Consider the following 26,144-nt stretch of genomic DNA (forward strand, 5'->3'; position numbering starts at 1 on the left):
TAACCCTGTTCTATCACTTAAGTATTGAGCTTAACTTGCAGAGAGAAACCATTGCTAAGCACTTGGGAATAGGGGGATATTTGTGATTATTTAAGCAATGTTGTGCTTATAAGATTTCTGGTAATAACACAGTCTAAAGGAAATGCTTCATATCCTGTGGAGTAGCTTTGGAATCCTATGTATTTAGAAGGATTTCTTTCAAAAATGTTTAAAATTATAAGTTTTACTTTAAAGAAGTTAATTTCTTTTACCTGGAAAATTGAAGCAAGTTAGACTATTTTGTGGACTTATGCAGTACTTGTCAAAAGGTAAATGTTTTTTAAAATTTCTGTTAGTAAGGATTTTACCTTTAGCAGCTTGTTATTTTAGTTATCTGCTTAGTTGCTTCTAATTTGAATTACTTGTAGCTCCCTAATTTAGATTGTAAAATGTTATGGCTCTGTTATATGACTTAAGTTTAGAACACAGTGGGTCCACTTTTGGATCCCATTCAAAGTGGATCTGATGTACTTATTTTCCTACACAGTTAAAGATCCCTCTTCAAAGGTGAAGCAGAGACACAATAAATTTGGATCTTGAAACCTTCATAGTAATATGCTTTTTAAAAGACATGTATACATAATTGTATAGCCATTGCATATACTTTTATACATACATTTCTTTCATATACATTACTGTCAGGAAGATCAGGAAGATAATGTCATCTCTTTAGTGAGATAAATTCCAACTCCATCGTGACCACTTACCATAGATGTGACTCTGTATTTGCTGTTCATTCATTCAATATGTATTTATTTGCCTTGTATATAGTATGTACTTATATGGGCACTGGTCATAGAAAGAGGAAACTGAATGGTTCACTTAACTTTTGAAATTGTCTTTTCACCTATCAGGGATGTGTGAATAGTATTGATGTAAAGCACTTGGCACGTGGTAGGTTCACCTCTTTTTTTTTTCCTGAGATGGAATATCGCTCTGTTGCCCAGACTGGAGTACAGTGGTGCAATCTCGGCTCACTACAGCCTTCTCCTGGGTTCCAGCAATTCTCATGCCTCAGCCTCCTGAGTAGCTGGGACTACAGGCATGTGCCACCACACCCGGCTAATTGTTTTTATTTTTAGTAGAGACAGGGTTTCATCATGTTGACCAGGCTGGTCTCAAACTCCTGACCTGAAGTGATTTGCCCGTCTTGGCCTCCCAGAGTGCTGGGATTACAGGCGTGAAGCGCCACACCCATCCAGGTTCACCTCTTGAGTAGAGTGCTGAGATGCTTTCTCACATGAGATTGGTTTCTAGTAATAATAGAGGGTTTTTTTGCTAGTTACTTTCTTATTGTATTTATCTTATAGAGTCTTGGTTCTTACAAAATCATAATTTGCTTTCAAAAATACATATTTTAAACTACCTAATAAGATCTTTATTTAGTGTCACATTTACGAAGGGTTGATGCTTATTTTAGTGATGATTTGTCATTAAAATTATGTCAAAATGTCTTAAAATGTTGTTGAAACTGTAAGCAAACTCAACACGCACAAAGCTAATTATGGGTGCCATCTGTTTATTTTTACAAAGCTTTTTTTTTAAGACTATGGCATTGTCTGCTTATGATAAGCTTCAAGATTATTATAATGACTAAGTCCTGTCCTTCAATTAGTGTAGTTGAAGATGGGAAGATAATTCGTTTGTTCACTGACCTTTTCCTGTGTCAGAGTGTATGAAATATGACATGTCATGATAAAGAAACTATTGTGAAGTGCATTTAGAAGATACTTAATTTTTATGAGAAAAAAATGACATCAAAGCAGCAGATGTGGCCAAAGTTTTGTTTAAATTCTTAGAACTTATTCAAGGTTTTAGATGAACGGTAGACTTTTCCAGTGACTTAAGTGGCTTCATTTTAACTCAAGGTTAAGAATTTCTAAGTGATCGACCAAGTTTATGTTGACATGTATCCCTGTTTGTGTACCTATATGTCAGCACATGTTTTTGTACATACATATCTCATGTGTTAGTGCAGAAGGCCAGGTACATGCATGACAGCATCAGCCCAAGTAGTTATCAGCAATCTGCTGAGAGAGCAGAGCGATCGCACTGGCTCTGTTTTGCAATTGTGCATGCTAAGCATTACCCAAGTCAGTGTGGAGGGAAAGCAACCTGAAGGATCCATCTGCTCCCTTCTGCTACACTGCCTCGATGCAAGATTACACTAATCTGGCTGCTTGTCAGGACAGGTTAGTGAAAGCATGCAAGTGGGTGAGACTTAGGGTGGACTAGTGCTTTGGAAAATCATAAGCTGCCCCTGTAGATGCCACGTTAAGTGCAGCAGAATAGGTTGATTATCGGCCACATTGAAGATTGCCGTGAAATAAATATATAGCTTTTTGGTTAAGAATTAGTTTCAAAATTAAAATTCTTAAATATTGTTGGACCACAGATAAATCAAAATTGAGAAAAATAATACAGATAGTTTACAAATACTTTTAGGCCTTAGTTTTTCTTATGATTTGTGTATTGTGTTTATTCTTTCATTTTATTCCCCTAGCTCAAGAGTTTTTTAGTCAAATATGTTCAAATGTTACATTCGATTAACTTCATTTTACCCAAAAACTTTTGTGATTTTTCTTGTTTGTTTCTATTTATTTACCCTTTTCTACACCTACTGACTGGCAGACCTTGGCCTTGCAGGTTGAGCATCCTGTCACAGAATGCATTACTGGCCTGGACCTAGTCCAGGAAATGATCCGTGTTGCTAAGGGCTACCCTCTCAGGCACAAACAAGCTGATATTCGCATCAACGGCTGGGCAGTTGAATGTCGGGTTTATGCTGAGGTAAAATGAATGGTGTTGGGAGGAAGGATGGTGGTTATGTCCAGAGTCATGAGACCTGGTATAGCCAAACAATGAGGTAAAGTTAGGGTTTTATAATGTTGCCAACTATTGGATTACGTAATCCATAATTAAATCAGAAAAAAATTAGATAATTTTGACCTAATTCCAGATAGTTTTAAAGAATTGGGCTTAGTTAATTGTCATGTATTTGTAGATGGGGAAATAGCTACCAATCCTTTAAGAGGCAACAGAGCATTGGTTAAATACTCTTGAGCTTGAATGGACCATGGTTTTTGTTTTGTTTGCATTTTCTTTGTTTATTTTCAAACAACACTAACAAGAAGTAGCATTTATTTCCATGGGTTTTTTAAAAAAATGCCCACCTTGGGTACACATTAGTTGTTGATCAGATATTTACTTAAAATTTTTCCCAACCTTTTTTTTGTATAATTTTCTCCTTTATTATTACATAAAAATAACAATCAAAATTTAAATTGTAAAGCTTTTAGTAAAACATGTACTCTTAATTTATAATTTTAATTTTGGGTTTTACTCATAAACTCTCAGTTCAGTACTTCTAAATGCTTTTTTTCAAATGACTAAAACAAGAATGCAAGGTAACATTTGTACTATTTTTACTTTTCGACATCAAAAATGTCTGTCAAGATTAAAAATAAATCAGTGTCTGTGTTTAAGAATACTGAGAGCTGGTTTGAAATATTTTTCAAGGAGTTCAAAAATATGTTTTGGCGTGACTGTATTGCTCTTGCTTTTTTCATATTTTAAGTAGTATTACTTTCATTCTTATGACACTGAACCTGTTTATTCTGATGATCTAAGATATTTACAAATGAAGTGCATATCTAGTAGCGTGCAAAGTTTTTTTTTTCAGGTCTTTATTTGAAGAACCCAAATTCTCAAGTTTTACCATATGTGAACTGTTTTGAGAAGTAAGAAAAACAAATATCTTTAGTATACCACATTTGTTGTTCTAAACTTGAGTATGTTTTGATGTAGGGCCTAGGTTATTTTATTTTTTGCCCAAGGCATTCTAAGAAGTTTTATAAAATGTTGGAATTTTACCAATTTCAATAAAGTATGAACAAGGTCAGGCTAAATTCTGCTTACAGTTCTGTTTGATTTTTAAGTACATTCTAAGTTGTCTAGCGTAAAAGACAATAATATTCTGAAATCTGTGATTTGGTAAATACCATATGTTGAAAATAGACCTATAAATGGTTCTTCATTGTGTAAATATTTAACCTTACTTGTGCTGATTTATATTTCAAAGACTGTGCTTCCTTTCCTTTGAACTTTCAGGACCCCTACAAGTCTTTTGGTTTACCATCTATTGGGAGATTGTCTCAGTACCAAGAACCGTTACATCTACCTGGTGTAAGTCATTAAGCTGTAATACCAGCTGAAGGGTTAAAATCGTGATTTATGTCATACTTTTATGTTAAAGCATGTCAACACCAAAGGGTGTAAATTGAAGGACAAGTGAAATTCATGGGAATCATGGTTTTTGTGTTGAAAACAAATTTTTTTCAGTATTTTGTGGTGTTCAAGAAAGTCAGGATTCACTGGACAGGGGAAGCCTGGGGACATCTGATGATATAAATGATAGCTTACAGTGTTCCCAATTCTTTCGAAAATTATAATAAAAAAGGCTGTGAATCCTAAGAATGAGAAATGATGTTTTGTGTTACAATTTAATCTTTTCAATAAATCGAGTCCAACCCTGCTATATAGTCACTTGTCAAGAAATTCAAGCACAAAATCAGCTCCTTAATTGAAATTTAAGGAGATTGAATTAAGGCAAACAAAGTGTGCCTCAGTCTATTAAACCTCATGGACTTTAAAGAGTAATAATATTTATATCAGTTAAATAAAAGTGACCACTGTCCATTTTATTCCATAGCTCTTCTGTATTTAATAGCTATTTTGAAAATAGTTTTTGTTGCAGAAAAAGAGCAAGGACATACCCTTTTTCTTAATCAAGGTAATAAGTGCATATATATATATATATATGACATTATGTTAGCTAGTAGATGACAAGGCTGTACCATCTGTGAATATTCAAATTATTCATTTTGATTACTGGCATGAAGATGGTGAAAGATTACAGGAAGAATTCTAAATCTGAAGATATTATTGGATATATGATTTATTTCACTTTTTAAATTGTTTTTGCCCATGTGCTTTCTAAAGGGACTTGACCCTTTCTGTGCTTGGAGACTCCATGCTGTGTTCAAAGCCAGAAGGCAGAAAAAAAATTGTGAAGATTTAACAGGCATTATGTGACGTTAAATAGCACATGAGAAAACAAGTATCATAGGGACATATCTAAACACTTTTTTAATCAAACAAAAGAAGTATTAAATAAGAATTCATAATGATTACTCTAGTTGTTAGAAGTTTTCACCATGTTGTAATAGCTAACAGGATGTCAAACATTTTGCCCTCGCAAGTTTTTGCAATTTGCAATTTTCAAACGTGAGACCTGTTGAAAGTACAAGTGATAATGGACAAACTATACCCCCTACAGTCTTCATCCCACCAAATCTTTCTTCAATTAATGCTGCAGCAGGAGTTTTATGTAATAACATTTGCAGTTGTGAGCCATCCATAGAAAGAAAAAACAATTAAAATGCCTTAAATGTTCTGCTTACTGCTGTTATTTGCTTGTGTGAATGTTGCATGTCAGCTAAATGGACCAAGGAGTAGATAAAGTGATTGGGTGCAGGAGAGTGCACACTAAGCTTTGTCTATCATTATTGCTGGGAGCAATCAAATTGATGTCAGCAGGACAGTAGATGCGTTGACAGCTGTAATTATGTATCTCCATGGTGATCACTTTTGGCCTGTCATGGAGGCCCATGAGTCCCCTCCCTTGGAAGCATTTAATCAGATTGGGCTGTCACTTGTCAGGTAGACATGGCGGGCTGGGAGTTGTGCTTAGGGGGAGAGGTGAATTGAGAATGAAGGGTGGGAGATGTCTGATAGTTTCACAGAGTCCACTGTGGTACTGAAGACAGAAATTTTAATTATGCTAGAGGTTTCTGAGCAGTGGTTTGAGAATCTCGTACAGAGGTGCTTGGGTGTTTTGTTGTGGTTGTTATTGTTTGTTTTTCTTCCTTGTCTTATTAAAACTAGAGCAGTCAGTTTACCTTAGAAAACAATTTTTGGCTCTTACCTTTTTTGGTCACAAGAATGCATACTTAAGAGTTAACTTATGGTTTGTACTTTTCACATGCTTCATTAAGCCTGAGATTTATTAATATGGCAGAGGTGAAGATTTCCTTTTTTATTTTTGATCATCATGTTTTGTAAATTTGTTATTTTCAGACCACAGTTTTGTTCTGCTCAGAAATTTGGTTCTGATTTCATTTGAATTTTTTCTTAAAGTTTTTAGTGCAAATTTGTATAGCCTTTCATTGAAGGAATGGAGACTTGATCTGACTTCAGATTGGTTGTTAAGAAATAAAAATATAGCTGATTATTACTTGGAAAAAGCAGCATAAATAGTAAATTATAAAGCAGAGTTTTCATACTGTGGTACAGTTTTTAATTGGGAATACTGATTTGCTTATACAAAGATACGTGTTTATATATATCTTGATTTTATCGTATGTATTTTAAAGTTAAGATGACATAACTTCTGTGATCATAATATTAGTAAATAACAAAGACAGTTATATTTAATTAAGATCTGTAGGTAACACCTTATAGGATGATATTATTCAAGGCAACTGAAGTTTTAAGTAAGGAACTGTAGAAGAACATAATAAATATTCTTTATTGTCTATGTTATTTTATTTGTGGGTTGAACATCTAAGTTCTTCCTAGCTTTGTAGCAGTTTATGTAGCAAATGATAGGATGTAGTTAAAGTCAGAAGTTTTAGAACTTGTATCAGTCTCGTTTGTAAACACAGCATTAGCAAGCATGCTGTGGTTTTAAAGATGACATAGTGGTCAAATTAGCTCTTTCACTTTTTAGTACTAAAATTAAGAAAATGAAAACTCACAGATATATTTTCTGTTATGTAACCCGTTTACTAGTTGCCATTTTGGGGCTCTTTAATGTGGGGAAAAGGTAGATTGTGATTTTATTGCTTTTAAAGCTGCTCCATTAATTTTTTTCTAGTTTTTGTCAACACTGTGAATTTCATAGAACATCAGTTTATGTCCTGAAATATGTTTTCAGAAAATAGAAAGCCAAGTATATTTCGTAAGTGTGCTGAATGATTTTTGTTTATAATTAAGATTTTTGTATATGAATGTGAATACGAATACAGATATCTATATTTTTGTTTGTGCTTGCAAATACAGAAATAAAAGCCCTTCAGGTATGTTATAGTGTTCCTTTTACAACCTTACAAAGAGAATAATAGTAGTGTGAATTTTAAGAAAATGAAACTATCGCTTGTCTTCTGATGTCACCGTATAATAAAGCCATCATTATACCCTCATGTGGATATCCTAGACAAGAGGTTCTACATGTGGTCCCTTGATAATTGCCTAAATTAAAATATTAAAGGCCTAACAGCCGCTGTGTTGACCTTTTTCTGCCTTGCTGCAGACAGATGAGCTGCTGTTTATTAGGAAGGCTTCTTCCCACAGGTGGAAGGCTACGTGAGCTTCCGCTCTTCTCTTCCCACCCCTTTACAATGTTGGGCATCAAAGTCCTGCTGTTCCAGCAGCTTTGATTCAGTTCCTCCATCCTCAAGACCCCTAGGATGTGCCTGACAGTCTGAAGTATTTTGATTAGCTTTTAAATACTTCAGATTCCAAAACTTCTTTCTAATAATTTAATAAATGTTCTGTCCTCAGTAACTGCTCATTTTTAAAGTTTTGCATGGCTAACCTCCGTGCCTTGCTGCTGGTATCAAACTGGGAAATGAAAACAAGAATCAGTGATGTACTAACTCACTCGTTGGCTGGTTAACAGCAATCAGCCTCTTCAAAAGAATATTTTGAACTTGTGCTATCCCCCTACCCCCCACCCCAAGAAAATCACAAAATCAGAACTCTAATTGGGGCTTTACAAAGCAAAGCCATAGGAAAAGCTGTGTAAACATGAAAGCCTCAGGGGAGCAACAGTAACAGAAAAATAGTGTTTTACAGTTGAGAGGGTGAGGCAGAAAAGGAAAGTGTTACAGACATGAAAGGCCCAGGCCCACATTCCTATGGAGCTGAGGACCAGGCTTGACGAGGGGCCTCACTGGTGGGCTCAGAAGGGTCTGGCAGGGAGTGCAGTTAGCAAGGGCATCGTCCATGCCATGCTTCAGCTGGAAGACACCATCAGAGAGCCACAGCATCCTGGCATAGTGATGTAGGAAGTCTTCATTTTTTATTTTTTATTTTTGCTGTTTTTTAGTTTCGTCATTCAGTGGCAGAACAAAAAATGTGTTGCATTACATATTAACGGATCAAGATTTTAGATTGTTTTCCTATTTTCCAGAAGTTGAAATGTTATTTGAGATTGAAATTCTCTATCCATTTTCTCCATGGAAATGAAATTGGTGGTTACAAAAAAATATCTACACAATATGAATTACTTTTCTTTTTTTCTTTTTTTCTCCCAGGTCCGAGTGGACAGTGGCATCCAACCAGGAAGTGATATTAGCATTTATTATGATCCTATGATTTCAAAAGTTAGTTTAATTTCTCAATGGATTATTTGATTTCTTCGAAAAATCAATGATATTTAAAGAGTCTGAAACTGGGCCTTTATCTGAATCATAAGCTATAATTAAACAACTAATTATGCACTGATGTAAATGTGAAAGCAGAGCAGGTTTTTTCTCTTGAGAGAAAATTCAGCGTTATGTTAGTTTGTAGTACTCCTCCTCCCCAACTAAATCATGCCACACCATCACACACATGCATGAACAATAATAATAATAAACATCTAACCAGTGGTGCCAGCCTAACTCATTGCCATGAGAAGGAATTAAGGTTTTTTTTGGCCATTGGCAGAAATTACCTGAGATGGAAGTATGAATGAATGGCAAGAGTTGGGCTGATAGGCAGTGTTTGTTAGAGTACTTTTTGATCTTTTCTCTTCAGTTTTTACAAATTACCAATTATTTAAGTAGATGTGATGTAAGAGTATAAGATTTGTTTTGCCCACCTGTCTTTTTGAAGTTTGACTTTCCAGAATAAATGAATTGAATTTTTGGATCTTTAAACCCTTAAAACCGTATAAAGTGTAAAATGCTGTAATAATTAAGATTGTGGATTTTATTTTTATTTTATTATTATTTTTTTGAGATGGAGTCTCGCTCTGTCCGCCAGCCTGGAGTGCAGTGGCACGATCTTGGCTCACTGCAACCTCCGCCTCCCAGGTTCAAGCGATTCTCCTGCCTCAGCCTCCTGAGTAGCTGGGTGGCTCGTGCCACCAAGCCCAGCTAATTTTTTTTGTTTTTAGTAGAGATGGGGTTTCACCTTGTTAGCCAGGATGGTCTCCATCTCCTGACCTCGTGATCCGCCCGCCTCGGCCTCCCAAAGTTCTGGGATTACAGGCGTGAGCCACAATGGCCGGCCAGATTGTGGATTTTATTTTGAAAATTCTGTGTTCTCTGAAATGATACATCTGTATTGAGGAATGATTTGTTTTTCAAGCCTTGTTTCTCAAGATGGCTTTTCCCCAAGTGTCCTTTTTAATGTTATAGTTGCAGTAAACAAACACTTTTTTATCTGTCTTTCTTCAGTTAGGGTTTTAGTGCTTTTTTTTGGGATAGGGTCTCCCTTTTTCACCCAGGCTGGAGTGCAGTATCATGATCTTGGCTCAGTGCAGCCTTGACCTCCCAGGCTCAAGCGATCCACCTGCCTTAGCCACCCAAGTAGCTGGGACTACAGGTGTGTACTACCATGCAGGGCTATTTTTTTATATCTTTTGTAGAAATGGGGCTTCCTCATGTTACCCAGGCTGATCTCGAATACCTGAGCTCAAGCAATCCACCCGCCTCGGCCTCTCAAAGTGCTGGGATTACAAACGTGAGCCACCGTGGTTGGCCTAAGTTATTAGTAGTATTAAAATAAAATTTAGGTCTTTTGTTTATTAGAGAACCACCATTTAATTTAAAAATAAAACTATGTAAAAATATTATACGTTGATTTTTAAATATTCCATTTTTAGATGAATGTTTTTCTCTTCAGAAAAATGGCCTACAAATTAATTTTCAAATTTGCTTGATATTGAAGAGCTAGTAAAACCTACTAAAATAATCACAATCTATAGATTGGCTAATATAACTGCCAGAAAAATCTTTAATGAATAGTTAAGGTCTTATTTCATTGCCAAATTATAGAGATACATATAAGTAGGCACTAAATCATGTAGAATAGTAAGACTTTTCTGTTTTTTTGATTTCTGAAAAAGTACCATTTGCTTCTGTGTATATTATATGTAAAACTGCAAATGATTTCTAAGATAGTCGTCTTCTTTCTTTATACTTTTATTTTTGAAACTTTACTTTTTTTGTTAGTTATGAAAGTGTTAAGGGCTGGACGCAGTGGCTCATATCTGTAATCCCAGCACTTTGGGAGGCTGAGGTAGGTGGATCACCTAAGGTCAGGAGTGTGAGACCAGCCAGGCCAACATGGCAAAACCCTGTCTCTACTAAAAATACAAAAAAATTAGCTGGGCGTGGTGACACACGCCTGAAATCCCAGCTTCTCGAGAGGCTGAGGCGAGAGGATCGCTTGAACCTGTGAGGCGGAGGTTGCAGTGAGCTGAGATTGCGCCACTGCCCTCCAGCCTGGGCAATAGAGCGAGACTCCATCTCAAAAATAAAAAATAAAAAGAAAGGAAAGTGTTAGCTATTCAGGGTATCAAACTTGGAAACCACAGAAAAATAGGGAAAAAATGTCTTATCTAATCCTCACCACTACCCTTGGTGTTCAAATCCTATCTCATATATTCACGTTTAGCTGTATCTCCTTTTAAATTTTTTCTGTACTTACTTTTGTTACGTTTTTGTTTTTGTAAAATCACTCTTTACTATGATAATGAAATGTAGGAGAAGAGTCTGAAATAGCTTGATTCTAATATTTATATACTTAAAAAATCATAATTGACATGTATTGAAAACTGAACTATCATAAAATTTCGAGATATATTTAGAAATCTGTTATGAAATATTTTAATTTTTACTAAAATGAATCATTTAACATAGTTCTAAATATATATATATATTGGGTTTTTTGTTTGCTTGTTTTTAGCTAATCACATATGGCTCTGATAGAACTGAGGCACTGAAGAGAATGGCAGATGCACTGGATAACTATGTTATTCGAGGTAAAAACAAAGATTTGCACTCGTTGGTTATTGTATATGGTGTCCAGTTCCAGAGAACAGCCTGGGGGTTTACCAATGAGAATATGGCACAGCACATTTGCTCACTATGTGCTTAAAGAGAAATAAGAAAAACTCAAATCCATCAAACCACCATACCAAGTATAGCCGTTTCCACTGTTTTAAGCAAATGCATATTTTCTCTATATGCCTAACATATATATTACTCTATATAACCAGTACACATTGGTTACACAGGCCTTCAGGAGGGCGTCTTTTTTCTTACAGAAGTAATATTGCTGTGGAGAGGTCTTTAGTGCGTATTTGGGACACACGTTCAGTTTATGTGAGTTTATCTATGTTTATCTATATATGCGAGTTTAGATAGACATAAATAAGTTACTTGGGAAGATTATTCCTGGAAGACATTAAAGTATTTGTAAGCACATTCTATGGGGATTTTCTCCCTTTTTATCTCTGCATTTTTATTGTGGTAATTGAAATACTAGATTTTGGTTAATTTAATTTTTACTCTAATGTGCTTGAGCAGTAAATCCATGAATTTGAGAGTCTGAATAAGAATATTTTGTCAAAACTCATTTCTGTTAAACTGTGATATAATACGACATAGGGGCATGGCATCTGGGCAGTTTGTCAAAATATTAGATTAGTTTTGGTCCCAACTAGAAGTTATTTATCTACTCCATCTGGCTTCTGAAAGGAGTACTCTTTTGTATTTACATGAATACCATTTCATGTTTTATACTTAAATGAACATTTTCCCACTAATTTGCTTACTCTATATATGTATATATAGGTTCACCAGTTACTACAGTTTTTAAGTGACTAAAATACAAAGTAGGCTTGCCATTATTCTCCTAACTTTATATGTGTCACATATAAAAAATAAATTTTGTTGTATAGGTAGATTTTTCCAGGCTTAGTCTGAAATTTTGCCTTTGAATTACTGTGATGTAGTAGACAGAAACCAGACAAAGCTAGGTTCATAGCCCCTGTCCTGACGCCATTTAATAATTATGTGATTTTTGGCCAAGCACGGTGGCTCACACCCGTAATCCTAGCACTTTGGGAGGCTGAGGCGGGTGGATTGTGAGGTCAGGAGTTCAAGACCAGCTGGGCAAAGATGGTGAAACCCAGTCTCTACTAAAAATACAAAAATTAGTCAGGCGTGGTGGTGGGCGTCTGTAATCCCCGCTACTTGGGAGGCTGAGGCAGAAAATTGCTTGAACCCGGGAGGCTTAGTTTGCAGTGAGCCGAGATCACGCCACTGCATGCCAGCCTAGGTGACAGAGTGAGAGTCCGTCTCAATGAAAAAAAAAATTTTTTTTTAAATAAATAATTACGTGATTTTTGTCAAATGACTTTGTCTCTCTGAATCTCATACTCCACATTTGAAAAATGGAGTGATAGTCTCTGCCTTATAAATTACTGGTGAGGATTAACTGAGGTTAAGTATATAAAGGGCTTGGCACCACACTGGCTTATGTTGTTCAATAACTTTAGTTGTCATCCTTTCTTCCTCTTTCCTCACACTTAATAAAACCATATATTTAAGAATCAAGGCCAGGCGTGGTGGCTCACGCCTGTAATCCCAGCACTTTGGGAGGCTGAGGAGGGCAGATCACTTGAGGTCAGGAGCTCAAGACCAGCCTGGCCAACTTGGCAGAACCCCGTCTCTAGTAAAAATACAAAAATTAGCCAGGCGTGGTGGTGGGTGCCCATAGTCCCAGCTACTCAGGAGGCTGAGGCAGGAGAATCGCTTGAACCCAGGAGGTGGAGGTTGCAGTGAGATGAGATCGCGCCATCACACTCCAGCCTGGGTGACAGTGTAAGACTCTGTCTCCAAAAAAATAAAAATAAAAGCCATGTGTTATAAATCACATTATCAATCCATTAGTCATATGAAATTTACTAAATCATAGATAAACAATATTGAAAGACCGTTTTATGTAATTTCTAATACTGTGTGCGGAGGTTATATGCTTTCATTGCACCCTGTTCAAATACTTCTCCAGAGAATTTACCGTCACTGTAAAATTAAAGTATTAATTGTGTAATTAACTGTGAAATGTTGGGTTATCCTATAAGATTATTAGGCACATGAGGACACTGATGATCTTTATCTTGTTTGTATGCATATTGCTGGTGCTTAGCAGTGTCTGACACATGCTAGATGATTAATAAATGTTTGTTGGATGAATGAATGAGTGAGCAAGTGATACTATCCCTGATTTCAAGGAGTTACTAATATACTTGGTGTGAAAACATATGAAAAGATAAGTATAATATTAATATAGCTTTGTAGGTGCCCCAATAGGGGATTGAAAAAGGGTAGTGGGAGTTTAAGGAAGAGGCTAGCATATCTTTCTTTTCTCGCCTCTCTTGGTCCTTTGAAAGTAACTAGTACTGCTTTAGGACTCATAGTGTCTCTGTGTCTCTGTCGAGAGTACCTCACTTTGTTCTGCTTTCAAATGATCCTCAGAGTGGCAGGATTTTTAAAAAGACTGGTAATGTCCTGTGTAGGTGAAATAAAGGGGATGGGCACGCTCAAGCGTCTTTGCAGTATCACTTGTTATAGTATTTTGGGAAAATAATCTGGTGTTAGATGTTAAAATAAAAGTGCATACCCTCTGACCCAGCTATTCATCTTTTGTGAATCTTTCCTATAGAGTTAAAAAACTGAATTATGAGCATGTTCACCATGACATTTACAACAACATTGTTTGTAGTAGCCAAAATGCTGACCAACCACAGTGTCCGCTAAATGGATGAATGACTGAATAAATTACAATGCATTATTACTATAAAATACTATGCAGCTGTGACTTAAAGACCTGTTTGTATGAATCGTTAAAGTAGAAAAGCAATTTGTAGTCATGTGTAGTACATTCTCATATCACTTGAACCATCTTCTCATCCTAAAATATTTTAAATTGTGTTGGATGAGCACAGAGAAAGGTGTGGACATCTACATATCACAATAATTTTTTTAAGCTCAAAGGATTTATGAGAGAGGGGTTTTTCTTGACACATTTCTCTTAGACTTTTTAATTTTAGGTATTTTCAAATCTATAGAAAAGATGAATGAATAGTACTGTGCATGCCTGTGTACTCTTCACCTAGATTATTATTTAATAAACTTTTTTTTGATATTTGCTTTCTCTATTTCTCCCTTTCTTTGCCTTTTCCTCTTCCTTTCTCACCCTTCCTCTTTCCTTTCCTCCCTCCATTCTCTTCTCTGTTTTTCTCCTGATCCATTTGAAAGAAGGTTGCAAACATCATGGCGCATCACTCCTGAATACTTTACCAGGCTTCTTAAGGGGAAGACCATGTTCCTGTAACTGGATTTTTCTTGCCTGCTGCACAGATAGAGTCTATTTATTGAGACAGCGTTATTGCAATAGAGAAAGAGTTTAATAAACACAGGGCTGGCTAAATGGGAGACTGAAGTTTTATTACTCAAATAAATTTCTCCCAAAATTTGGAGGCTAGGGTTTTTAAAGAATAATTTGGTGGGCAGGGGGCCAGGGAGTGAGGAATGCTGACTGGTTGGTTTGGGGATGAAATTATAGGTGCTTGAGGCAGGGTCTTCTTGCTACCTTCAGTTACTGGGTAAGATCACAGAACTAGTTGAGCCAGTTTGCTGGTCTGGCTGCATGACTCCTGAGCCTTAATTTCTAATGTTAGTTTTACAAATGCAGTCTGTTCCCCAGACAAGGAGGGGGTTTGTTTTGGGAAGGGGCTGTTTTCATTGTTTTACAGTTAAAGTATAAATTAAATTCCTCTTATAGTTAGCATGGCCTACACCCAGGAATGAACAGGGGCAGCTTGGAGGTTAAAAGCAAGATAAAGTTGGTTAGGTCGGATTTTTCTCAGTGTCATAATTTTTGCAGTGGCCATTTCATTCCTGCAAAAAAGCACAATACCATCATTACACCCAAGGAAAATTGACAGCAACCTAACAGTTTCATCTCATGTATTGTCCATATTTAAGCTTGTCCCTCGGAGTCTTTTTTTATTGTTTTTTAATCCCATCTGTGGCCCAAAGTTACACAGTGTCTTTGATTATGTCTCTTTATTATCTTGCCGTCTTTCATATTTCATTTCATTAATTTTCAGGAGAGTCCACGGTAGTTGATTTGTAGAATGTGGCACATTCTAGATAGAAAGTGTTAACGTTGGTTCACTAAAGGCACTTGTGAAGTGATTCCAAGAATGAGGGTTGTAGGTGATAATTTGCACTATCACTCACAGAACTCGCAGAAACTCTTTGCTTACTATTATCAGTTTATTATAAAGGGTACAGCTTGAGAGTAACCCAGTGGAGGAGATGCACAGGGCAAGGTGTTAGGAAGGGGTGCAGAGCATCCATGCCCTCTCCAGGTGCACCACCCTCCATCACTTCCGTGTGTTCAGCAACCCACAAGTCCTCTGATCCTTGTCCTTGGGTTTTTATGAAGGCCTGACTAGGTAGGCATGATTGATCCTATCAATCTGCCATTAGTGATTAAGTCATTCTTCAGTCCCTCTCCCCTTTGGAGGGTGGGGGTGGGGCTGAAAGTTCCAACCCCTTAATCACATGGTTGGATCCTCTGGCCACCTGCTCCCATCCTCTAAGAGTCATCTCATTAGCATAAACTCAGGTATGATTGAAAGGAGCTTGTTATGAATAACAGAAGACATTCCTCTCTCAACAGTCATTTCTATGATATTCTTGCCAAAAATGTACAACCTGAGTATAATCATGAGGAAACATCAGACAAACCAAATTGAAAGACAGTCTACAAAATAAATGGCTTCTTCTCTTCAAACATGTCAAGGTCAGGAAACACAAAGAAGAGTTGAGCAACTTATGTAGATCAAAGGAAACTAAAGACACATGACAACTAAATGCAATGTGTGATCCTGGTTTAGATCCTGGACCAGAAGAAAAATGTTTTTCTTTTGTAGTAAGGGTCATAAGTGGGACAATTGGTGAGATTTGAATAAGGTCTGGAGATGAGGTGATAGCAATGTTAGCAGTGTTAGGCTTGTCTGATTTTGATCCTTGTACTGTGATTATAGAAGAGATATACCTTGCTTTTAGGAGATGTACACTGACATATTTAGAAGTAAAATGACATCTTGTCTGCAACTTACCTTCATATGTTTAAGAAGGAAAATTATGTATCTGTGTATAAATAGAAAAAATTAGTGACAAAGCAAATAAATGTGATAAGATGTTATCATTTGTAGAACCTCCATATATAGTAATTCTGCTTACTATTTTTTTGAAATTTTTTTAAATTTTGAATTTTGAAATTATTTCAAAATAATTTTGAATTTTTTTATTTTGAAATAATTTCAAAATTTAAAAAATTTAAAATTTAATTTCAAAATAAAAAGTTAAAAAAATAGGGAAGAGCAAGAACCCCCACTCTCCACTAATATTTAAAGAATAAAAGCAGAGATGCATTTGGGATTTTGAACTTACATATTACTCATCTGGCTAATTCTGAAGGATAGGCAGGTTTAAAAACTTGCTTTATGAAAGGCAGAAAAGGGAAGACAATCTACTGTCTTGTTTGGTAACTGCTTAATTATTCAAATATGAATATTTTTTTCCTGTGCTGATTGTGAACTTTTGTTAAGATAGAGAAACTTTGAAGCAAAAATGTAATTCGGTTAAAATGAATTTCAAAATCCTCATGAAATAAGAGTGCTTTTGGCCTCTGTTTGATCCTGGCAGCATGTCTAGCTGATGTCTGGGCAGTGTTTTGGAACCAGCAGGCAGTCAGGGGAAGGCCACTCCTAGGGGCCTCTTCTCTGTGGCCTGGTGGTGATTTCCCATACAGATGGGACCTGGTGAACTCTGCCAGAGGTCATCCTTGACTCCCAGTCCACACCTCCCAGTCATAATTTTTATGAGTATGTGATTAATAATATCCTTGAAGTTGTAAACTAACTCTCAAAGAATACCTCTACTGTCCCCATACCATTTAAACAAGGATCTGTTCAAATAGTGTTGTCTTTCCTGGGATGTGAAAAGAAAGAAACTAAATGCAAAATGGTAACTTTCAAATCTGTATGATACTGTTTAGTGCTTCAGTGATTCTTCCCATCTAGCTGATCTTTTGAGCTCTTAGGTATAAAATACTTTTCTGATTATTACCCTCTTTTGGCTTTAGGATTAATTAATGGACAGTAGTTTCGGGAACAGTTAGTCGAGGCATAGATGTTTGTTGTCTGCCATGAGCCATTATCTCACCATATTGGCCTTAGGAAAGAAAAAGAGATAACGATTTAGTTTTGCATAGTCATATATAATATTTTATTTAGAAAACATTAAAGAGAAAATGGTTTTGTGTTTTAATTTTGTTTTTAAAATATCATTTAGTGAGATAAAAGTCTGTGTTTTTATGCTGTATTTACTATTCAAGTAGAAAGATTTTTAAAATTCCATGCTTCATTTACGTGCTTGATGGCTCTGTTCTTTGATATCCAAAATGTAAATTAATATTTGCTTTCAATTCCTTTGAGTTAGATTTTTCTAAAATTAACACCTATTTTTCAGCTTTGGATATAGAGGACAAATACAACATATGATTTATCCTGTGAAACTGCAAGCATGTTAACTTTCTGAATATTATCAGTCACAAATTTTGGGCATCAGAAAATAATCTCTTTTTTTGTTCAAATTGTCATTAACTATTTCTGAAAACTATATTGTATTTTACTGATGACAGAGTTTGGTTCCACCTATTTTAACATTGGCCACACAGGGAGCTAAAAAATTTATACCAGCAGTAGGCTATAAACATGAAAGCCAGTAAAGTTAAATATGAAATATTAAATATATATGTTAATAGTATTCTTTTTTTTTTTGGAGATGGAGTCTCACTCTGTCACCCAGGCTGGAGTGTAGTGGCATGATCTCGGCTCATTGCAGCCTCTGCCTCCCAGGTTCAAGCAATTCTCCTGCCTCAGCCTCCTGAGTAGCTGGGACTACAGGGGTGCGCCACCACACCTAGCTAATTTTTGTATTTTTAGTAGAGACGGGGTTTCACCATGTTGGTCAGGCTGGTCTCAACTCCTGACCTCAGGTGACCCGCCTGCCTCGGCCTCCCAAAATGAACAATACTATTTCTGTTTAACCAGGGCAGGGAAGTTCAAAAATCCTGAGACTGCCTGCTAACTTACTTACTGTTTTGCAAAAACACTTGTAAATTGAAATATTCTGAATTATTTATTTGTACATAAGATCAATATTTTTGGTAAAATAAATTGTTGATGTACCTTGGTCTAATACCTTTCATCCCTTCCAGTCCCTCCCTTAGAGTCTTATTTTTTCCAGAACTTTATTTATTTATTGTAATATATGAGCGATTTGCATATTGCTGGTTTTATTTCACGTTTCTCTGTCTCACCCTGTTTTGGATTCCTTCACATATGGGAGATGTTCCCCCATAAGTAGGAACGTCTGTTTTCTGATGTATACCATCGAATCTGCCTGCTTTTCTGAACCTTAATCATTCAGACATCATCTCACAGGCATCTCAAATTTAACTTGTCCATGAATCTGCTATTTTCCTCTCAACCTGTTTCTTCTCTGCAAATGGCAACTTCTCTCATGTTGCAGAGCCAGAACTTTGGGTGTTGTGCTCATCTCCCCATTCTTTGTAATTGTGGTTGTTGTTTTGAGACAGGGTCTCACTCTGTCACTTAGGCTGGAGTGCAGTGATGGGCCCAGGGCTCATTGCAGTCTTAACCTCCAGGGTTCAGCTGATCCTCCCACCTCAACCTCCCTGGTAGCTGGGACTACAGGCACAAGCCAGCACACCCAGCTAATTTTTTGTATTTATTGTAGAGATGGGATTTTGCCATGTTGCCTAGACTGGTCTTGAACTCCTGACCTCAAGTGACCCACCCACCTCGGTTTCCCAAAATGTTGCAATAACAGGCATGAGCCACTGCACCTGGCCCTCATCTCCCCATTCTTGCCATCAGTCCCTGCCTGCCTCCTGAATATCCGTCAAGTCCAGCTGCTTCTCCCATCTGTATTGTCAGTGTCCTAGCTGTGGACCCCAGCCTTGCCATTTTTCAGCATATCTCCGCAATTGTCCCCTAAGGAATTTTTCCATCTTCCCTCTTGCCCTTCCTCAGTCCCTTTTCCGTATAGCAGCCTAAGTGATTCTGGATTGCATAAATCTAGTCATACCTGCCCTGCTTCCCATTCTAGTTGCTCTCATGGGAATGTGGAATCTGTGCATGGCCTATCACACGCTGAATGCCTATTGGCCTTTTCACTGCACCCAGCACCGTTCTCTCCTTTGCTCATACTCAGACCATGGTGTTTTCCTTTCATTCCTCTCCATAGGAATACCTGGTGGTAATCATTTGCTTTTTGCAACAGTGAAATCTCTCTCTGTCTCTGTCTCTCTCTCTCTTTTAATTATACTTTAAGTTCTAACAACGTGCAGGTTTGTTACGTAGGTATTCATGTGCCATGTTGGTGTGCTGCACCCATTAACTCGTCATTTACATTAGGTATATCTCCTAATGCTATCCCTCCCCCCTCCCCCCACCCCATGACAGGCCCTGGTGTGTGATGTTCCCCTTCCTGTGTCCAAGTGTTCTCATTGTTCAGTTCCCACCTATGAGTGAGAACATGCGGTGTTTGGTTTTTTGTCCTTGGGATAGTTTACTGAGAATGATGGTTTCCAGCTTCATCCATGTCCCTACAAAGGACATGAACTCATCATTTTTTACGGCTGCATAGTATTCCATGGTGTATATGTGCCACATTTTCTTAATCCAGTCTATCATTGATGGACATTTGGGTTGGTTCCAAGTCTTTGCTATTGTGAATAGTGCTGCAATAAACATAACGTGTGCATGTGTCTTTATAGCAGCATGATTTATAATCCTTTGGGTATATATACCCAGTAATGAGATGGCTGAGTCAAATGGTATTTCTAGTTCTAGATCCTTGAAGAATTGCCACACTGACTTCCACAATGGTTGAACTAGTTTACAGTCCCACCAACAGTGTAAAAGTGTTCCTATTTCTCCACATCCTCTCCAGCACCTGTTGTTTCCTGACTTTTTAATGATTGCCATTCTAACTGGTGTGAGATGGTATCTCATTGTGGTTTTGGTTTGCATTTCTCTGATGGCCAGTGATGATGAGCATTTTTTCATTTGTCTGTTGGCTGCATAAATGTCTTCTTTTGAGAAGTGTCTGTTCATGTCCTTCGCCCACTTTTTGATGGGGTTGTTTGTTTTTTTCTTGTAAATTTGTTTGAGTTCTTTGTAGATTCTGGATATTAGCCCTTTGTCAGGTGAGTAGATTGCAAAAATTTTCTCCCATTCTGTAGGTTGCCTGTTCACTCTGATGGTAGTTTCTTTTGCTGTGCAGAAGCTCTTTAGTTTAATTAGATCCCATTTGTCAATTTTGGCTTTTGTTGCCATTGCTTTTGGTGTTTTAGACATGAAGTCCTTGCCCATGTCTATGTCCTGAATGGTATTGCCTAGGTTTTCTTCTAGGGTTTTTATGGTTTTAGGCCTAACATATAAGTCTTTAATCCATCTTGAATGAATTTTTGTATAAGGTGTAAGGAAGGGATCCAGTTTCAGCTTTCTGCATATGGCTAGCCAGTTTTCCCAGCACCATTTATTAAATAGGGAATCCTTTCCCCATTTCTTGTTTTTGTCAGGTTTGTCAAAGATCAGATAGTTGTAGATGTGTGGTGTTATTTCTGAGGGCTCTGTTCTGTTCCATTGGTCCATATGTCTGTTTTGGTACCAGTACCATGCTGCTTTGGTTACTGTAGCCTTGTAGTATAGTTTGAAGTCAGGTAGCATGATGCCTCCAGGTTTGTTCTTTTGGCTTAGGATTGTCTTGGCAATGTGGGCTCTTTTTTGGTTCCATATGAACTTTAAAGATCCAATTCTGTGAAGAAAGTCATTGGTAGCTTGATGGGGATGGCATTGAATCTATAAATTACCTTGGGCAGTATGGCCATTTTCACGATATTAGTTCTTCCTATCCATGAGCATGGAATGTTCTTCCATTTGTTTGTGTCTTTTATTTTGTTGAGCAGTGTTTTGTAGTTCTGTTTGAAGAGATCCTTCACATCCCTTGTAAGTTGGATTCCTAGGTATTTTATTCTCTTTGAAGCAATTGTGAATGGGAGTTGACTCATGATTTGGCTCTCTGTTTGTCTGTTATTGGTGTATAAGAATGCTTGTGATTTTTGCACATTGATTTTGTATCCTGAGACTGCTGAAATTGCTTATCAGCTTAAGGAGATTTTGGGCTGAGATGATAGGGTTTTCTAGATATACAATCATGTCATCTGCAAACAGGGACAATTTGACTTCCTCTTTTCCTAATTGAATACCCTTTATTTCTTTCTCCTGCCTGATTGCCCTGGCCAGAACTTCCAACACTATGTTGAATAGGAGTGGTGAGAGAGGCCATCCCTGTCTTGTGCCAGTTTTCAAAGGGAATGCTTCCAGTTTTTGCCCATTCAGTATGATATTGGCTGTGGGTTTGTCATAAATAGCTCTTATTATTTTGAGATACGTCCCATCAATACCAAATTTATTGAGAGTTTTTAGCCTGAAGGGCTGTTGAATTTTGTCAAAGGCCTTTTCTGCATCTATTGAGATAATCATGTGGTTTTTGTCTTTGGTTCTGTTTATATGCTGGATTACATTTATTGATTTGCATATGTTGAACCAGCCTTGCATCCCAGGGATGAAGCCCACTTGATCATGGTGGATAAGCTTTTTGATGTGCTGCTGGATTTGGTTTGCCAGTATTTTATTGAGGATTTTTGCATCGATGTTCATGAGGAATATTTTAGGGCCTCTCTGTATTGCCTAGGCTGGAGTGCAGTGGCACAATTATAGCTCACTGCAGCCTTGAATTCCTGGATTCAAGTGATCTCCCTGCCTCTGACTCCTGAGTAGCTGGGACTACAGATGTGCCACCCTACGCGGCTAATTTTTAAATTTTTTGTAGAGATAGGGTCTTTGTTGTCCAGGCTGGTCACAAACTCCTGGCCTCAAGCAGTCCTCCTCCCTCAGCCTCCCAAAGGGCTGGGATTACAGGTGTGAGCTAAATTCCTCCCTAATGTTACCATAGCCTTAGCTACTTATCTTTGGGTCCTTCTCATCTTTCTGTTTTCCTTCCCAGCCAGGAAAATCTGTGTAAGTCTCAAATACTTTCCTCTTCCCGGAACACCAAAGCTGTCATTTCCTATGCAGGTGAACCTTTCTGGCAAGTGATACCTCTTTTCTTTTTCAAAAGCACTCTAGTTTGTCTCTTTGTGAAACATGATCAAGGGATTAATTTCCCATGTTTTATTTAGCCTGATCTCTTTCAAGGAGCTTTTTACATTTTTGCCTACCTAATTGATCTTTCTAAGCATCCTAGCATATTGCCTTCAGTTGCTTTTCACTTTCATCTAAACAAAAGCAACGCCACATTTTTTCAATGATTTCTTAGGTATATTGATGTCATTAGAAATTTCATCTGCCTTCTACTATGTTTCTCATTAAAAAAACTTATTAAAGCCCTCTGAAACATAGTTATTATGTATGGGCCAAGTAAATCATTACCCACAGAACAAGCATGAAATAGCTGTGTAGATCTCATGGGCATGCGCTATAGAAGATCTGTGTGTGTGTGTGTGTGTGTGTGTGTGTGTGTGTGTGTGTGTGTACATAAAGCAATCTATAATATATATATATGTATATAGTGAAGAATATGATCGATTCTGATATATATAACTTTTTCCATGGAATTTTTGTGTAGCTAAAGGAATAGCATTAATTTGAATTTGTGAATGTTTTCTAAACGTCTTGAGGCAGTTTTGATAAATTGAGAATTGGCCTTTATAAAATTTAGATACATAGCATCTCTTGAGTCAGGAACAGAAATGCTCAGGATTTTCCATATGGTTGTGGATATGGTCTAGTATAAAAGGATGCATAGGAAAATGCCTGGGAGGGTATACATGTTAAGCTGTTATCATTGGCTAGCTTAGAGATGGAAAGTCATATTGAAAAGGTGTGCCCTGCTCGCTCAAACACATGCACTAGGGTACAGGGTAACCTGCTGTAACAAAGATTTCTAAATACAGTGGGATAAATAAGAGAGACGTTTATTTACCTCTCATGTAACTGTCTGGTCCATGCTGCTAGGAGGCAAGTCAGCCTCATGAGGTCATTCAAAGATACACACACCCATCCTGATGTGCCACTCCGTTTGAATTGCCAAAGCTGAGTTTCTGCCATGTCAGGAAACCCACAGTAAGACGAGAAGAAAGGAAGCTCAAGCAAGCAATGAGAGAGTCGGAAGTTGCGTACATCACTTTAGCTTACCTTCCTTTGTCTAGGAATTAGTTTGTCATGCCTACCTACAAGCTAGATGGGAAAGTGGAGTCTGTGTCTGGGTGTCTTTTGCTCAGCTAAAATTCTATTACTATGGAAAAATGAAAAGCAGGTTTTAGGAGAAACTAGCAGTCTGTCACAATAAACTGTGTCTTAAAAATTGTTTATATATAATTATATATATGTAACTATTGTGATATATAATGTGCTAATCATTAGGTAAACTATTCAGTCTCTCTGGATTGCAATTTTCTTTTTTTTAATTTTTTTTTTTTCTTTTAGAGATAGGGTCTCTCTCTGTCACCCAGATTTGGGTACAGTGATGCAGCCGTAGCTCACTACAACTTCGAACTCCTGGGCTCAAGTGATCTTCCTGCCTCAGCCTCCCAAGTACCTGGGACTATAGGCACATGCCACCATTCCCAGCTAATTTTCTGTTTTTATTTTTTGTAGAGACAGGGTCTTGCTACATTGCCCAGGCTGATCTTGAACTCCTGGTCTCAAGTCATCTCCCACCTTGACTTCCCAAAGTGCTGGAATTAAAGGTGTGAGCCACTGCACCCAGCACAATTTTCTCATTTGTAAGGTCCCATTTTTCTCTGTAGTTTACTTATTCTATAACTAGTTGCGCAGTTTCCCAAGAGCAGGTACCATATTGTGTGCTCTCATTTTCCTTCCCATGATATCTAATGGCTGCATGAGTAATAGTGTAGAATACATGTTGATGCATATAGATAGGTTTGCTCAGATTAAAGGGCTAGATAGTAAATGTTTTAGACTTTGTGGGACACAAGGTTTCTGTTACAACTGCTTGACTCTGCTGTTACAACATGAAAACAGTCATATGTAAGCAAACCAGGCTGGCTGTGTTCTAATAAAACTTTTTTTACAAAAATAGGTAGGAGGCTAGATTTGGCCTTCAGGCCATATTTTGCCAACCATTGTCTTGTAGGAAAGTTACACTTTCCAAATAGATACAGGTGTAAACTCAGATTTCAGGAGCTCCATTCTTTTTTTTTTTGTTGTTTTTTTGAGACAGAGTCTCACTCTGTCACCCAGGCTGGAGTACAATGGTGCGGTCTCGGCTCACTACAACCTTCACCTCCCGGCTTCAAGCGGGAGGCCTCAGCCTCAAGAGTAGCTGGGATTACAGGCGCCTGCCACCACGCCTGGCTAATTATTGTATTTTTAGTAGAGACGGGGTTTCACCATGTTGGCCAGGCTGGTCTCGAATTGCTGACCTTGTGATCCTCCTGCCTCGGCCTCCCAAAGTGCTGGGATTACAGGTGTGAGCCACTGTGCCTGGCCAGGAGCTCCATTCTTAACAGAAAACAGAACTAGAAGTTAGGTAGGTCAGTGCTGAAGCTTAGGATGCAGGAAAACTTCTGTCTGATGTTTTATTAATTACATTTTGTCTCATGCTCTTTGTATATTCCCATATAACAGGATAGTAATGTTCTTTTTTGAGAGCCCAGCATTGCATTAAGCATTATATCATTTATACCTGATAACAATCATGCATAATAGGTTCTATTATTGTTAATTTACAAATGAGGAAACTAAAGCTTTGAGAGGTTAACTAACTTACCTAAGGTAAGGGATAGACCTGGTATTTGAACTTGACTATCTGATTCTTTGCTTACTTTATGGTTATTGTTGCAAAAGTGGGGATTCTGTGAGACTTGAATAGTAAAATCAGAATCATACTTCGTAGGTTTCTTATGCAGCATGATGGTACAGATTAGAACCATACAAGAGTGGACTAAAGTAATAGGAAGGAATGAACAAACCTCTGTTTACTTTGACTTCAGCTGTCATGCTGCAGTCACCTGCTCTTCTTGTGGAAGCCTGATGTAATTTCTGCCTTCCCTGGATGTAACATGCTTCCTCCCACTTGCTTTCATTCCTGTGTAACATCTTTGTAATCTGGATGACCAAGATTAGATACTTCATTCTTCACAAAACCTTCCTGCATCCTAGAACTCTCCCAATACTATTAGTATCCTCTTGTGGCAGTTACCTATTTTGATATTACAGTTGACCTTTGAACAACACTGGTTTGAACTGTGCAGGTCCATTTATCTTGGATTTTTTTTCAATAAATATATCCTAAAATTATTTGAAGATTTGTGACAATTTGAAAAAGCTTTCAGACAAACTCTATAGCCTCGAAGTACCAAAGAAAGAAAAAGGTATGTCATGAATACATAAAATATATAGAGATACTAGTCTGTTTCATCATTTGCTATTATAAAATTTACACAAATCTATTATAAAAGTTAACATTTATCAAAACTTACACAAACAGAGACCATACCTGGTGCCATTCAAAGCAGAGAGAAATGTACACAAACAGTAAAGACGCAGCATGAAATCATAACCACATTAAGATTCACTGTAGTACATACTGTACTACTGTATAGTTTCATAGCCACCTACTGTTGCTATTGCAGTGAGTTCAAGTGTTGCGAGTATCTGCTTAAAACACCATGTGATGCTGATCACCGCTGTGTGATCAGTTCTCTCTCCAGTAAATTGCATATGGCAGTAAAAAGTCATTGCTTATGGTTCTGGAATATTTTTCATCATGTTTAGTGCAAACCATAAACTT

General features: G+C 37.3%; 1 protein-coding gene across 36 annotated transcripts in view; it reads left to right on the plus strand.

The window, feature by feature from the left end:
• The window catches only part of PCCA (propionyl-CoA carboxylase subunit alpha), a 441,343-nt gene that overhangs the window by 209,682 nt on the left and 205,517 nt on the right, over nt 1-26,144 (plus strand). For 28 of the 36 annotated variants that reach the window (NR_148031.2, XR_007063681.1, XM_017020609.2 and 25 more), the window contains 4 exons: nt 2,686-2,829; nt 4,150-4,224; nt 8,418-8,486; nt 11,059-11,134. The exons of 1 other annotated variant lie outside the window; for it this stretch is intronic. Coding sequence is in view for 29 of the 35 variants with exons in the window: in XM_017020609.2 (XP_016876098.1) it covers nt 2,686-2,829; nt 4,150-4,224; nt 8,418-8,486; nt 11,059-11,134 (364 nt within the window). In the remaining 6 variants the exon portion in view is untranslated. Of the gene's footprint in view, nt 1-2,685; nt 2,830-4,149; nt 4,225-6,976; nt 7,061-8,417; nt 8,487-11,058; nt 11,135-26,144 lie in introns of all 36 variants that reach the window. 7 more of the 36 variants (NR_148030.2, NR_148027.2, NR_148028.2 and 4 more) reach the window with 2 other exon arrangements.

The sequence above is a fragment of the Homo sapiens genome, chromosome 13 (assembly GCF_000001405.40).
Source record: "Homo sapiens chromosome 13, GRCh38.p14 Primary Assembly".
In the NCBI taxonomy this organism is placed as follows: Eukaryota; Metazoa; Chordata; class Mammalia; order Primates; family Hominidae; genus Homo; species Homo sapiens.